The following is a 15,961-nucleotide window of genomic DNA, read 5'->3' as shown; positions in this document are numbered from 1 at the left end:
TATCTGAGCATTTGGGGAGGCCAAAGTAGGAGAATCGCCTGAGTCTAGGAGTTCAAGACCAGCCTGGGCAACATAGGGAGACCCTGTCTCTACAAAAACTTAAAAAAATTAGGTGGGCATGATGATGCATGCCTGCAGTCTCAGCTACTTGAGGGAGGCGGAGGTGGGAGGATCGCTTGAGACCAGGAGTTTGAGGCTGCAGTGAGCTCTGATCTTGCCATTTCACTCCAGCCTGGGCAACAGAGCAAGACCCTGCCTCAAAAAAGAAAAGAAAAGAGAAGAGAAGAGAAAAGAAAAGTGTGTAAAGTTAGTTAATCTCTATGTACTGACAATATCAACTAAATATAAACAGTGACTCTTACCACAGAAGCTGAAACAAAATAGCAAATCATATGCAATAAACCGAAGTAAGTTGGAGGACTTAATGAAGAACACAATCAAAGGAGGCCAAGGAAGGCTTGCTGCAAGGGGGTTTATAACTCACCACTGAATAGGCGTCATATGTCTTCAAATTAGATTGTAACTGTGATGAAATTGATCCCTAACAAATTCTTCCTGGAACATAAATTGCTGACAGGATAAATACATAATACTTTTTAGTTAAGTTATAAGCGTAAGGTCCTCTCAAGAGGATTACTAATAGAAGTTAGTTATATATATTTTACACTATATATGTTATATACTATATATATAACTATATGTTATATATATTATGTTATATATGTTATATATATAATATATATAGTATATAATATATATATAGTTAGTTTTGTTTTTTTGTTTATTTGAGACAGAGTCTCACTCTGTCGCCCAGGCTAGAGTGCAGTGGCATGATCCCAGCTCACTGCAACCTCCGCCTCCTAGGCTCAAGCAATTCTCCTGCCTCAGTCTCCTGAGTAGCTGGGATTACAGGCATGCACAACCGTGCCCAACTAATTTTTGTATTTTTAGGAGAGATGGGGTTTCACCATGTTAGCCAGGTTGGTCTCAAACTCCTGACCTCAGTTGATCCACCTGCCTTGGCCTCCCAAAGTGCCGGGATTAGAGGTGTGAGCCACTGTGCCTGGCATATATATAAATATAAACCTATATAATATATATAAATATAAACCTATATAATATATATAAAGAAATATATATAAATATATATATAAATATATATATAAAGAAATATATATATATATTTCTTTTTTTTTTTTTTGAGACAGAGTTTCAATATTGTTGCCCAGGCTGGTGTGCAATGGCGTGATCTCGGTTCACTGCAACCTCAGCCTCCTGGGTTCAAGCAATTCTCCTTCCTCAGCCTCCCGAGTAGCTGGGATTACAGGCATGCGCCACCATGCCTGTCTAATTTTGTGTTTTTAGTAGAGGCGGGGGTTTCTCCATGTTGGTCAGACTGGTCTCGAACTCCCGATCTCAGGTGATCTGCCCACCTTGACCTCCCAAAGTGCTGGGATTACAGGCGTGAGCCACTGCGCCTGGCCCTATATATATATCTTTTGAGACAGAGTCTTGCTCTGTCGCCCAGGCTGGAGTGCAGTGAGGTGATCTTGGCTCGCTGCAGCCTCCACCTCCCGGGTTCAAGCCACATTGGCGCCTCCTGCGCCCAGCCACAGCAAGCCATATTTCATCAGACACTTGAGGGATGAGTATCAGAAAGTCAGGTGAAGAGGCTGGGCGCGGTAGCTCACACCTGTAATCCCAGCACTTTGGGAGGCCAAGGTGGGCAGATCACGAGGTCAGGAGTTTGAGAACAGCCTGACCAACATGGTGAAACCCCATCTCTACTAAATACAAAAAAATTAGCCAGGCGTGGTGGTGCATGCCTGTAATCCCAGCTACTCAGGAGGCTGAGGAAGGAGAATTGTTTGAACCCGGGAGGCGAAGGTTGCAGTGAGCCGAGATCGCACCCTTGCACTCCAGCCTGGGAGACAGGGTGAGACTCCATCTCAAAAAAAAAAAAAAGAGAAAGTCAGGTGAAGCAGGGACGGGGTCCAGGGTCAGAAGAGTGTTCTGGGTGGAAGGAACAGAAGCTATATGTATTACGTTTTTAAAATTTTCTGTATTTATGATGCTTTGACATCTTACAAAGCTTGCTGGCCTGAAAGAAACTCCCCCTCCCAGGGGTAGCCAATCCTCAGGACACCAAAGAGCTCAACCAGGAGGATGTCTTTAGTCCCAGCACTTTGGGAGGCCAAGGTGGGTGTATCACCTAAGATCAGGAGTTCAAGATGAACCTGGCCAACATGGTGAAACCCTGTCTCTACTAAAAATACAAAAAAAAAAAAAATTAGCCAGGCGTGGTGTCGGGCGCCTGTAGTCCCAGCTACTCGGGAGGCTGAGGCAGGAGAATGGCGTGAACCTGGGAGGTGGCGGTTGCAGTGAACAGAGATCGCACCACTTCACTCCAGCCTGGGCAACAAAGTGAAACTCCATTTCAAAAAGATAAATATAAATAAATAAATAAATAAATAAATATAGAAAAGAAACCCCAGTGCAGGCTCTGGCTCAGGCTTCTGCCACCTGACCAAACCTGGCACTCCCCTATGGCCCTTCATGGCATTTGGTGAGACCCCTCCCTGGACCTGTGAGTATACCTACATGTTCCTTCCAATCTTGGTTCCCGCCGTCCCCTCCTGCGGGTGCACTGATTGTCCCATACCACGTCCATCATCTCTATGCTTGGAACACTTCAGGCTTCAAGCAGGAGGTCTGAGGAAGAACAGGAGAGAAGGAGAGCAAAATGTCGAACTCACCTTGATGAGTTGGTGGAAAGAGAAAATTATAAATTCTCAGAAGAAATCTTTCTGTTTAGGGAGATTCTAATGGTGAAAGATCGATGATGAGACGCTATCACTGGTGTAGTGACGTCAATCGGGGTTGGCAGGATGAGTTAGCCTCCTAGGAGCAAAGAAGGATTGTCAATAAGAGTAATAAGAGTAGGAGGCCATGCACGGTGGCTCATGCCTGTAATCCCAGCACTTTGGGAGACCAAGGCGGGTGATCACCTGAACTCAGGAGTTCCAGACCAGCCTGGCCAATGTGGTGAAACCCCGTCTCTACTAAAAATATATAAAAATTAGCTGGGCATGGTGGCGGGTGCCTTTAATCCCAGCTACTTGGGAGGCTGAGGCAGGAGAATCTCTTGAACCTGGGAGGCAGAGGTTGCAGTGAGCCGAGATTGCACCACTGCAGTCCAGCCTAGGGTGACAGATCAAGACTCCGTCGCAAAAAGAAAAAAAAAAGTAATGTGAGTAGGGTTTTTAAAATTTTTATGTTTTAGAGACAGGGTCTCACTCTGTTGCCCAGGCTGGAGTGCACTGGAGCAATCATAGCTCAGTACCCGGCTAGTTTTTAAATACTTCGTAGAGACAAAGTCTTGCTATATTGCCCAGGTGGGTCTCGAACTCCTGGCCTCAAGCAATCCTCCTGCCTTGGCCTCCCAAAGTGCTGGCATTACAGGTATGAGCCACCATGCCTGTCCTAGAGTTGATATTAATAGCAGGTAACCGTTGAGAGGTACTATGTCCCAGGTCCCTCTCCTAAATGATTTAGATATGTTAACTCATTTACTGTTTGCAACACGACTACAAAGCAGATAAAATTAGTACTTCCATTTTACAGATTAGAGGTTAAGTATGTTATTCACTGTCTTATAATTAGTATCAAACATATGTTCCTCTGGGGACTGGGGACAGAGGGACTTTCTAGGCAGATGGGACAACATATGCAAAAACGAGAATAAAAGGGAATAAAGGAGGCAAGACGAGGGTATAGCTTATCTCAAATAGTTGTTGGAGAAGATTCACACTCTCGCTGAAAAATATCTCAACTTCGTATAATGAAAGAGAGTTAAAGAAGTGTGAGGCGGGGCAGGGAGCTAATTCCTGTAATCCCAGCACTTTGGGAGGCCGAAGCGGGTGGATTGCTTCAGTCCAGGAGTTCAAGATCAGCCTGGGCAACATGGCAAGACCCCATCTCTACAAAAAATTTTAAAATGAGACAGGCGCAGTGGCATCCACATGTAGTCCCAGCTACTCAGGAGGCTGAGGTGGGAGGATCACTTGTGCCCAGCAGTTTGAGGCTACAGTGAGCTATGATCACACTCCAGTCTGGACAACAGAGTGAGACTTAGTCTCAAAAAAAAAAAAAAAAAAAAAAGAAGCGCTTAGGCCAGGTGCGGTGGCTCACGTCTGTAATCCCAGCACTTTGGTAGGCCAAGGCGGGCAGATCACCTGAGGTCAGGAGTTCCAGACCAGCCTGGCCAACATGGTGAACGCCTTCTCTACTAAAATTACGAAAATTAGCTGGGCGTGATGGCACACCCCTGTTATCCCAGCTACTCGGGAGGCTGAGGCAGGAGAATCGCTTGAACATGGGAGGCAGAGGTTGCAGTGGGCTGAGATCGCACCACTGCACTCCAGCCTGGGTGACAGAGTGACACTCTGTCTCAAAAGAAAAAAAAAAGTGTGGTGGCTGGAGGCGGTGGCTCACATCTGTAATCCCAGCTCTTTGGGAGGCTGAAGCAGGCAAATCACCCGAAGTCAGGAGTTCGAGACAAGCCTGGCCAACATGGTGAAACCCCGTCTCTACTAAAAATACAAAAAATTTAGCCAGGTATGGTGGCAGACGCCTGTAATTCCAGCTACTCGGGAGGCTGAGGTAGGAGAATTGCTTGAACTGGGAGACAGAGGTCACAGTGAGCTGAGACCGCGCCATTGCATTCCAGCCTGGGCGACAAGAGCGAAACTCCATCTCAAAAAGAAAGGAAAGGAAAAAGGAAAAGGAAAAGGAAAGGAAAGGAAAGGGGAAAGGGAAGGGGGAAGGGAAGGGGGAAGGGAAGGAGGAAAGGAAAAGGCTGATGTAGCTCATGCTTGTAATCCCAGAACTTTGGGAGGTTGAGGGGGGTGGATCACCTGAGGTCAGGAGTTTGAAACCAGCATGGCCAACATGGTGAAAACTAGTCTCTACTAAAAATACAAAAATTAGCCCGGCTAGGCTGGGCGCGGTGGCTCACGCCTGTAATCTCAGCATTTTGGGAGGCCGAGGTGGGCGGATCATGATGTCAGGAGATCGAGACCATCCTGGCTAACACGGTGAAATCCTATCTCTATTAAAAATACAAAAAATTAGCCAGGCATGGTGGCAGGCACCTGTAGTCCCAGCTACTCTGGAGGCTGAGGCAGGAGAATGGCGTGAACCCAGGAGGCAGAGCTTGCAGTGAACTGAGATCGCGCCACTACACTCCAGCCTGGGCGACAGAGCGAGACTCTGTCTCAAAAAAAAAAAAAAAAAAAAATTAGCCAGGTGAGGTGGCAGGCTCCTGTAATCCCAGGTACTCGGGAGGCTGAGGCAGGAGAATTGCTTGAACCTGTGAGGCGAAGGTTGCAATGAGCCAAGATCTTGGCATTGCAAACCAACCTGGGTGAGAGTCAGATTCTGTCTCAAAAAAAAAGAAAAAAAAAAAGAGGGTGGTTATCACCAGGGTGGTTTCTCTCATCTCGATGTTGGCAGCCAGTGTCTGTGGTGGCATTGAGGTCTCCTACAAAGAGTGGCTTATGGGGCATTTATAAAAAATATAGACTAATAGGCTGGGCACGGTGGCTCACGCCTGTAATCCCAGCACCTTGGGAGGCCAAGGCGGGCAGATCACAAGGTCAGGAGTTCAAAACCAGCCTGGCCAACATGGTGAGATCCCGTCTCTACTAAAAATACAAAATTTAGCCAGGCATGATGGCACATGCCAGTAGTGCCAGATACTCAGGAAGCTGAGGCAGGAGAATCGCTTGAACTCAAGAGGCAGAGGCTCTGGTGAGCTGAGATTATGCCACTGCACTCCAGCCTGGGCAACGGAGCAAGACTCCATCTCAAAAAAAATATATATATATATATATATATTTGTATATATTACATATATAGTAATAATACCTGTTATTTTGACACTATTATACAGCAGGTCCCTCTTCTATATAATCTATATGAGTTATACATGTTAACTCACTAATTATGTGCAACACTAGGAGGAAGATTTAACTAGATTTCCGTTTTACGAGTTCCAACAACTAAAAGGGGATGGTGGCCGGGCACGGTGGCCCACGCCTAAAATCCCAGGATTTTGGGAGCCCAAAGCTGGTGGATCAGAAGGTCAGGAGATCCAGACCAGCGTGGCCAAAGTGGTGAAACCCCATCTCTACTAAAAACTAAAAAAAAAAAAATTAGTCGGGCATGGTGGTGCGCACCTGTAGTCCCAGCTACTCTGGAGGCTAAGGCAGGAGAATCACTTGAACCCGGGAGGCAGAGGTTGCAGTAAGTGAAGATCATGTCACTGCACTCCAGCCTGGATGACAGAGTGAGAATCTGTCTCAAAATAAATAAATAAATAAATAAATAAATAGGAATGGCTAAAACACAAAAACAAGGCTGGGCACAGTCGTTCATGCCAGGGAGAAAAGTAGGGTGGATCAGTTACACTTAAGAGTCCTTGGCTGGGTGCGGTGGCTCGCACCTGTAATCGCAGCACTCTGAGAGGCCGAGGTGTGTGAATCACCTGAGGTCAGGAGTTCAAGACCAGCTTGACCAACATGGTGAAACCCCATCTATACTAAAAATGTAAACATTAGCCAGGCATGATGGCACACACCTGTAGTTCCAGATACTCAGAAGGCTGAGGCAGGAGACTCACTTGAACCCGGGAGGTGGAGGTTGCAGTGAGCTGAAATTCTGCCACTGCACTCCAGGCTGGGTGACAGAGTGAGACTCCGTCTCAAAAAAAAAAAAAAAAGAGTCCTTGCGATATCAGGTGAGGAGTGTAGCAGGGCGTAAAAGAGACCTGAGAAATATCTGCAACAAACAGCCAGGTGCGATGGCGAATGGTGTAGGCCTTGTGGATCGCAGATGCAACAGCAGATGCCGCAGCGTGGTGATGCGGGCAGCGATGTGGAGTGCCTAGTGGCTAACTCAGCTTAGAAAAATATCCTGGGGCAAGGCTGGACAAAAGAGGGAGACCAAAGGAGAGCCCCTCCCTCAGGCTCAGAGTGATGTCCTTTAGTGTCCGGCAGGTTGAGTCAAGCCTCCTAGGGCAAAAATGAAAACATCAGCGTTAGCAAGACAAAATATTGATACCAACAAGGACTAAAAGTTACTGGAAACCTACAATAGATCAAAACCCTCTTCAGGGCTGGGTGTGGTGGCTCACACCTGTAATCCCAGCACTTTGGGAGGCCAAGGTGGGCAGATCTCCTGAGGTCAAGAGTTCAAGACCAGCCTGGTCAACATGGTGAAACCCTGTCTCTACTAAAAATACAAAAATTAGCTGGGCGTGGTGGCTCATGCCTGTAGTCCCAGCTACTCAGGAGGCTGAGGCAGGAGAATCACTTGAACCCGAGAGGCGGAGGTTGCAGTGAGCCGAGATTGAGCCACTGCACTCCAGCCTGGGTGACAGAGCGAGACTCTGTCTCAAAACAAAACAAAACAAAAACCCTCTTCGTGTGATGTATATACCTTAACTCACGGACGACCTACACAACCAGCTTGGGAGTTAGGTACCCTTAATCACTTTAAGGTTAGAAAAAAGGGGCAGGAGGTTAACTAGGTTAGGGATCAGTACAAATCTATCCTTGCTAGAGACCCCAGAATATGTCCCCTTGGTTTCTAACTTCTCCCCGAACAGCTCTGAATATGCAGATTGAGTAAGGAAGGGGAAAAAAAGAGGAATTTACATGCCCTAAGATGGAGAGTTCCTAAAACAACGTACTGGAAGACAATAAAAACATAAACGCCACATAATACTATGTATTTCCTGTGGGGGCATGTGTGTGTGTGTGTATATATACATATCTCAATATACTATATACTTATATATTCTGGTGTTACATATATTTATTGCGGTTTCTGGGTATATATATGTGTGTGTATATATATGTATACATACATATATATGTATTTAAGGCTAGGTGTGGTGGCTCCTGGCTGTAATCCCAGCACTTTGGGAGGCCGAGGCGGGCAGATTACTTGAGGTCAGGAGTTTGAGACCAGCCTGGTTGACATGGCAAAACCCCATCTTTACTAAAAATACAAAAATTAGCTGGGCATGGTGGCAAGTGCCTGTAATTCCAGCTACTTGAGAGGCTGAGGCAGGAGAATTGCTTGAACCTGGGAGGCAGAGGTTGCAGTGAGCCAAGATAGCACCACTGCACTCCAGCCTGGGCCACAGCGCTAGACTGTATCTAAAATAAATAAATAAATAAATAAATAAATAAATAAATAAATAAATAAATAAGCTGGGTGCGGTGGCTCACGCCTGTAACCCCAGCCCTTTGGGAGGCCAAGGTGGGTGGATCACCTGAGGTCAGGAGTTCGAGACCAGCCTGACCAACATGGTGAAACCCCACCTCTACTAAAAATACAAAAATCAGCCAGGTGTGGTAGCCCGCACCTGTAATTCCATCTACACGGGAGGCTGAGGCAGGACAATCAGCTTGAACCCAGGAGGCAGAGGTTGCAGTGAGCCGAGACTCCATCTCAAAATAAAATAAAATTAAAATAAATAAATATATATATATATGTATCTATATATATTTAATTTAATAGAGACACAGGCGCAGTGGCTCACACCTGTAATCCCAGCACTTTGGGAGGCCAAGGCAGGTAGACTGCCTGAGCTCAGGAGTTCGCAACCAGCCTGGGCAACACAGTGAAACTGCATGTCTACTCAAATACAAAACATTAGCCAGGTGTAGCGGTGTGCACCTGTGGTCCCAGCTACTACGGAGGCTCAGATAGGAGAATTGCTTGAACCTGGGAGGCAGATGTTGCAGTGAGCCAAGATCATGCCACTGCACTCCAGCCTGGGTGACAGAGGGAGACAGTGTCTCAAAAAAAAAAAAAAAAAAAAAAAAACAGAAAGAAAGAAAATAGAGACGCAGTCTCCTTATGTTGCCCTGGCTGGTCTTGAACTCTTGGATTCAAGCCATTCTCCCGCCTTTGCCTCCTGAACTGCTGAGATTACAAGTGTGAGCCACTACACCCAGCCTAAAAATATATTTTATATGTTTAGGTGGATAAATACCCACCCGGGCCGGGCGCGGTGGCTCACGCCTGTAATCCCAGCACTTCGGGAGGCCAAGGCAGGCGGATCACGAGGTCAGGAGATCGAGACCATCCTGGCTAACACAGTGAAACCCCGTCTCTACTAAAAATACAAAAAATTAGCCGGGCCTGGTGGCGGGCACCTGTAGTCCCAGCTACTCGGGAGGCTGAGGCAGGAGAATGGCGTGAACCCGGGAGGCCGAGCTTGCAGTGAGCCGAGATCGCGCCACTGCACTCCAGCCTGGGCGACAAAGCGAGACTCTATCTCAAAAAAAAAAAAAGGATAAATTCGCACCCATAAATATATATTTTCTGCATACATACACGTATATGTATATATAGTATATTTACACATACAAATATGTATACATACATATATATGTAATACAGACAAGTCCCCGCAGAAAATACCTATTATTTGGAACTTATATTTTTATTGTCTCACAGAATATGTTATTTTATGTGTTGTTCTGCAACTTGCATATACAGGTATACTGTATTTTATTTATATTTCTATATATGTTAGTGTTAACGAATATAAAAGTCAGGAAACTCAGCTGGTAAACTCTCAGGAGGGGAGAAAGAACGAGATCAGGTTTCATGGGTCAACACAGACTTTAGGTTTCCTCGTGAACAGCAGGGAGGAGCGGCCCGGAGCGAACCCGCAGTCCACGTAGGCGCAGTCGGCTTTCAGCAGCGCGATCACCCTCTCACCCGACCTCCGCAGGCCGCCGTCCGAAGACTAGCCCACCAGAGAGCATGCGCCATGGGTGCTCCCGCGTGGTAGCCGCCCCTCCTGCCCCGCCTGCCCAGTCGGAAAGGAGAAGGGGCGGGGTCTGCGGCGGGCTCCGCCCCCAAACTGCGGCGCGCGCGTGGGTGGGGCGGGTCTTACGTCTGGAGAAGGGCTACTTCCGGGGTGGACGGCAATGGCTGTGGGCAAGGAGCGAGGCGCGATTGGCTGTCCGGCGGACGAGTTCTGGGGCCCGCGAGCGCAAAGTGGAAGGCGGCGGGGCCGGGGCTGTGGCTGCGCCGCCCGCCATCTACCTCCCCGCGGCGGCCCGGCCCCCGGTATGATGGTGGGGACCGGTGGGGATCTAGGTCGCGGGCCAGGAGGAGGGTGTTGGGGAACGTGTGTCCAGCTCACCTCCGTTAGCCGCTGAACGCTAGCACCGACAGAAGATTCTCTCATCTTAAAGCGGAGGTATACGGGGTGTCGGGGGAAGACACTCCCACCAGACTCAGAGTTACTCTGATCTGAAAGATGACAGTCGCAGCACGTCAGCCAGAATCAAGTCTCCTAGGAGCCTAAACTAAAGGATCAGAGCAAATAATGGTATTAGGTACAAGACTCTCTGAGAGCTTGCCATAAATATGTCAATCGATGTAATCCTCACTACAGCCCTGTAAATTAGGTGGTAAAATATCATTTACAAATAAAAAACTGAGACACAGGGTAATGTGTTTAAAATCAGCGAGCAGTGGCAGAATTCGCTGTAAACATTACACTGCGTATAGATGATACTTTTCCAGATGTTTGAAATGTTGGACACAATTCCCATTCCGCTGGGGGAAATAGCTAGATTTACTGTTATTGAAGAATCCAGTTATGGACTACCATGCTATACTGACATAGGAAGTTCCCCCAAGACGTATTTGGGAGTGGATTTTAAAAGTTACAGAAAAAGAGATATGAGTACTTTTTTTTTTTTTTTTTGAGACAGAGACTCACTCTGTCGCCCAGGCTGGAGTGCAGTGGCGCGATCTCGGCTCTCTGCAATCTGCACCTCCCGGGTTCAAGCGATTGTCCTGCCTCAGGCTCCTGGCAAATTTTTGTATTTTTAGTAGAGACGCGGTTTCACTATGTTGGCCAGACTGGTCTCCAACTGCTGACCTCAAATGATCCACCCACCTTGGCCTCACTCCCAAAGTGCTGGGATTACAGGCGTGAGCCACCGCGCCCAGCCAGTAATTCTTTTTTTTTTTTTTTTAAGTAATTCTTTTACACAAAAACCCCTTAAAACAATACTGTTTTTTTGTGGTATATGCTTATGTAAATGAATAGAAAAAGATGTATACACATTACTATAAAAAGACCTGCAGTATTAATAACATACGCTAAACTGCCAACAGTCAATAGGGGAGGGAAACTTTATCCTATTCATGAAGTTTTTTTTTTTTTTTTTTTTTTTTTTGAGACGGAGTCTCGCTCTCTCGCCCAGGCTGGAGTGCAGTGGCGCGATCTTGGCTCACTGCAAGCTCTGCCTCCCGGATTCATGCCATTCTCCTGGCTCAGCCTCCCGAGTAGCTGGGACTACAGGCGTCCGCCACCAGGCCTGGCTAATTTTTTGTACATTTAGTAGAGACGGGGTTTCACCATGTTGGCCAGGATGGTCTCGATCTCTTGACCTCGTGATCCACCCGCCTTGGCCTCCCAAAGTGCTGGGATTACAGGCATGAGCCACCGCGCCTGGCCTATGAAGTTTTTTTTGGGGGGCGTAGGGGGGTGAAATGTGGTCAGAAAAATGTATATATACATACTGTATCTTCTCTACATAATAAAAATTATCTTTAAAACTTGAGTAAGAATGACAAATTTCACCAAGCATGGTGTCTCAAAAAAAAAAAAAAGAATGACGTTTTGTATAATTTGAGCACCTACTCTGGTATAATGGCTTTTGAATAATTGTAGAAATAAAATCTACCATTAGGGGGTGAGGATTTGAGGGTTATGAGAATAAGAGCATAAACATAAAGCACATTCAGGGAATTCCAAAAGAATTTTTACAGTACTTTAAAACAGTGCAGTATTTCATAATTTAGTCCAAGGCAGCTTAATAACAAACAATGTTAGCTAAAACTGCTCTATATCTATGTTACATAGCTCATATTTAATGAAGAATTAGAGGCACTCAATAATACTAAGTACTATTTATTTATTTATTTATTTATTTATTTTTGAGACAGAGTCTGGCTCTGTCGCCCAGGCTAGAGTGCAGTGGCCCAATCTCGGCTCACTGCAAGCTCCGCCTCCGGGGTTCAAGCGATTCTCCTGCCTCAGCCTCCAGCGTAGCTGGGATTACAGGCACGTGCCACCCCGCCGGGCTAATTTTTTGTATTTTTAGTAGAGATGGGGTTTCACCGTGTTAGCCAGGGTGGTCTCGATCTCCTGACCTTGTGATCCGCCCGCCTTGGCCTCCCAAAGTTCTGGGATTACAGGTATGAGCCCCCGTGCTTGGCCAATACTAAGTACTTTTTAAAATATGGCTCCTGATATTTTCAGTTGAAATATTTTATAAATGTATTCAATGTTGATTACTGTAAAGTGTTTCACTTTAATAAAATTCAAGATATGCCTACATCTTATACCTGACAATTTTGTGACCCTATATAAAAATTGTTACAAACAAAAAACCCTTAGTAACATCTATTTTGTACATTACACTGGGGTGGAGGCTTTAAAACCAAAAGGGATATGCCCAGGGATTGAAATGAGGGCAATTCGCTCTTAATTGACAGGATCTACTAGAAACTGACATTTAAAATATGTTAGTTGACCTAAGGAATACCAAGAGCCAAATTTGGCTTGGGAATCTCTTAGTTATTCACCCTATTTGGAGAAGTAAAGAAGAAAGCAGAAGTAGTTGTGCTCACCTGACAAGTGCCTTCGTATCTGGGACTTACCATCAGACAGTTGGCAAGACCCTGTTAATTGAGGGTTCAAATCCTGATGACATCACAACTGTTGCTTGGTAGCCAGCCAGATCAACAATTTTCACAAGGCCTTGGCTTAAGCTATTTTTTTTTTTTTTTTTTGAGATGGAGTCTTGCTCTGTCTCCCAGGCTGGAGTGCAGTGGCACGATCTTGGCTCACTGCAAGCTCTGCCTCCTGGGTTCATGCCATTCTCCTGCCTCAGCCTCCGGAGTAGCTGGGACTACAGGCACCCGCCACCATGCCCGGCTAATTTTTTGTATTTTAAGTAGAGACAGGGTTTCACCGTGTTAGCCAGGATGGTCTCGATCTCCTGACCTAATGATCTGCCCGCCTCAGCCTCCCAAAGTGCTGGGATTACAGGTGTAAGCCATCGTGCCCGGATGGCTTAGGCTATTTCTTACCACAATAAGATGCTTCAAATAGAGTTTAACATGTATTAATTATTGCAATGTAACAAATTAACTACCCAGAAACATTTCTCCCACAGTTTCTGAAGGTCACGGATCAGAGCAGGGTGGCTTAATGGTTCTGGCTTATTTTTTTTTATTTTTTATTTTTTTTGAAACAGAGTTTTGCTTTTGTTGCCCAGGCTGGAGTGCAATGGCACGATCTCGGCTCACTGCAACCTCTGCCTCCCAGGTTCAAGCAATTCTCCTGCCTCAGCCTCCCAAGTAGCTGGGATTACAGGCGTGTGCCACCGTGCCTGGCTAATTTTTGTATTTTTAAGGGCCAGGCCCGGTGGCTCACGCCCACTTTGGGAGGCTGAGGTGGGTGGATCATGAGGTCAGCAGTTCGAGACCAGCCTGACCAACATGGTAAAACCCTGTCTCTACTAAAAGTACAAAAAAATTAGCTAGGTGTGGTGGCAGGCACCTGTAATCCCAGCAACTTGGTTGGCTGAGGCAGGAGAATCGCTTGAAACCGGAAGGTGGAGGTTGCAGTGAGATGAGATTGCACCACTGCACTCTAGCCTGGGCAGTAAGAGCAAAAAAAATTGCATTTTTAGTACAGACGGAGTTTCACCCTATTGGCCAGGCTGGTCTGGAACTCCTGACCTACAGTGATCTGCCTGCCTTGGCCTCCCGAAGTGCTGGGACTACAGGCGTGAGCCACTGCTCCTGGCCAGTTCGGACTCTTGAGTTTACAGGACATTTCAAGGGCCTACTGGGGATGAAGAATCTTTTCCAAACTCACTTTCTTCTTGGCAGGCTCACTTTCCCACAGTGAGGGCTGGCTAGGGCTACTCACAGCATGGCTTCCTCACCCCAGGGCAACAGATGAAAGAGGGAGAGAGTAAGATGAAAGCCACAGTGTCTTTTGAACTTCTCTGAGAAGTTACATACCATCAATTCTCCGTACATGAATCATCACACAGACCAACCTTAGTACAATGTAAGAGGGAACTTGACAAGGGTATCATTTCCCAAACTCTCCCTCTCATGGATAATTACTATATACAGGGTGCGTAAGAGCTGTGGTCAAAATGAAGGAATTAGAGACACTACACAAACAAGATTAGGCCCTGGTGGCCCGGCACGGTGGCTCATCACGCCTGTAATCCCAGCACTTTGGGAGGCTGAGGTGGGCAGATCACAAGATCAGGAGTTCAAGACCAGCCGGACCAATATGGTGAAACTCCGTCTCTACTAAAAATACAAAAATTAGCTGGGCGTGGTGGCATGTGCCTGTAATCTTAGCTACTCAGGAGGCTGAGGCAGGAGAATTGTTTGAACCTGGGAGCCAGAGGTTGCAGTGAGCTAAGATCGCTCCACTGCACTCCAGCCTGGGCAACAGAGCAAGACTCTGTATCAAGAAAAAAAAAAAATTGCTGGGCACAGTGGCCCATGCCTGTAATCCCAGCACTTTGAGAGACCAAGGCGGGCGGATCATGAGGTCAGGAGATGGAGACCATCCTGGCTAACACGGTGAAACCCCGTCTCTACTAAAAATACAAAAAATTAGACGGGCGTGGTGGCGGGCGCCTGTAGTACCAGCTACTTGGGAGGCTGAAGCAGGAGAATGGCTTGAACCCGGGAGGTGGAGCTTGCAGTGAGCCGAGATCGCGCCACTGCACTCTAGCCTGGGTGACAGAGTGAGACTCCTTCTCAAAAAAAAAAAAAAAAAAAGGCCGTGTGTGGTTGCTGACCTGTAATCCCAGCACTTTAGGAGGCTGGGGCAGGCGGATCATGAGGTCAGGAGTTCGAGACCAGCCTGGCCAATATAGTGAAACCCCATCTCTACTAAAAATACAAAAAATTAGGCAGGCATGGTGGCAGGCGCCTGTAATCCCAGCTACTCAGGAGGCTGAGGCAGGAGAATCGCTTGAACCCGGGAGGCAGAGGTTGCAGTGAGCCGAGATCGTGGATAGTGCCATTGCACTCCAGCCCAGGCAACAATGCAGGACTCTGTCTCAAAACAAACAAACAAAAAAAAATAGAAAAGAAAACATTAGGCCCTGGTGCTATACATGTATACATGTACAATTTCCTTCTTTCTTTTTTTCTTTTTCTTTTCTTTTTTTTTTTTGAGACAGAATCTCGCTCTGTTGCCCAGACTGGAGTGCAGTGGCGCGATCTCGGCTCACTGCAAGCTCCGCCTCCGGGGTTCACGCCATTCTCCGGCCTCACCCTCCCGAGTAGCTGGGACTACAGGCGCCTGCCACCACGCCCGGCTAATTTTTGTATTTTTTAGTAGAGACAGGGTTTCACCTTGTTAACCAGGAGGGTCTCAATCTCCTGACCTCGTGATCTGCCCACCTCGGCCTCCCAAAGTGCTGGGATTACAGGCGTGAGCCACTGCGCCCGGCCTACAATTTCCTTAACATCAGTTGAAGATGATAAAATATATACAACTACAGCTATATCCAAACACGTTATTAGTTACCTTATATGATTTCTGTAGCTATCTGTTTATTGATCCATCCAACTGAAGCAGTATCTTTTAACTCTCTGCTATATAGATAAGAAATGTTGGCTGGGCGCGGTGGCTCACACCTGCAATCCCAGCACTTTGGGAAGCCGAGGCAGGTGGATCATCTGAGGTCAGGAGTTCAAGACCAGCTTGGCCAACATGGTGAAACCCCATCTCTACTAAAAATTTAAAATTAGCCGGGCATGGTGGCACACGCCTGTAATCCCAGGTACTTGTGTGGCTGAGACAGGA

At 46.8% G+C, this 15,961-nt stretch overlaps 1 protein-coding gene across 11 annotated transcripts in view, besides 3 other annotated features; it reads right to left on the bottom strand.

Annotated features, from left to right (window-relative positions):
* USP42 (ubiquitin specific peptidase 42) overlaps positions 1-10,261 on the bottom strand; it is an 80,324-nt gene extending 70,063 nt beyond the window's left edge. The window contains exons 1-5 of one of the 11 annotated variants that reach the window (XM_047420940.1): positions 10,232-10,261; positions 6,830-7,073; positions 6,240-6,357; positions 2,757-2,901; positions 485-570 (exon numbers count right to left, since the gene is read on the bottom strand). The gene's annotated coding sequence lies outside the window, so the exon portion shown is untranslated. Of the gene's footprint in view, positions 1-484; positions 571-2,601; positions 2,902-6,239; positions 6,358-6,829; positions 7,074-9,703; positions 9,832-10,231 lie in introns of those variants that run through there. The other 10 variants (XM_024446969.2, XM_047420938.1, XM_024446968.2 and 7 more) reach the window with 10 other exon arrangements.
* Positions 9,748-10,297: a silencer, noted in NCBI's record as "silent region_17934". NCBI's record gives its function as "represses an Ori minimal core promoter by ATAC-STARR-seq in GM12878 lymphoblastoid cells {active_cell/tissue: GM12878}" and the evidence as "EXISTENCE:reporter gene assay evidence [ECO:0000049][PMID:35858748]".
* Positions 13,234-14,147: an enhancer, noted in NCBI's record as "NANOG-H3K27ac hESC enhancer chr7:6116986-6117899 (GRCh37/hg19 assembly coordinates)". NCBI's record gives its function as "activates a minimal SCP1, AML or CMV promoter by ChIP-STARR-seq in naive H9 embryonic stem cells {active_cell/tissue: H9 hESC(naive)}" and the evidence as "EXISTENCE:reporter gene assay evidence [ECO:0000049][PMID:30033119]".
* Positions 14,148-15,062: an enhancer, noted in NCBI's record as "NANOG-H3K27ac hESC enhancer chr7:6116071-6116985 (GRCh37/hg19 assembly coordinates)". NCBI's record gives its function as "activates a minimal SCP1, AML or CMV promoter by ChIP-STARR-seq in naive H9 embryonic stem cells {active_cell/tissue: H9 hESC(naive)}" and the evidence as "EXISTENCE:reporter gene assay evidence [ECO:0000049][PMID:30033119]".

This window comes from Homo sapiens, chromosome 7 (genome assembly GCF_000001405.40).
Source record: "Homo sapiens chromosome 7, GRCh38.p14 Primary Assembly".
Classification (NCBI taxonomy): Eukaryota; Metazoa; Chordata; class Mammalia; order Primates; family Hominidae; genus Homo; species Homo sapiens.
The sequence above is the reverse complement of the archived record's forward strand: the minus strand, read 5'-3'. Positions and strand labels throughout refer to the sequence as shown.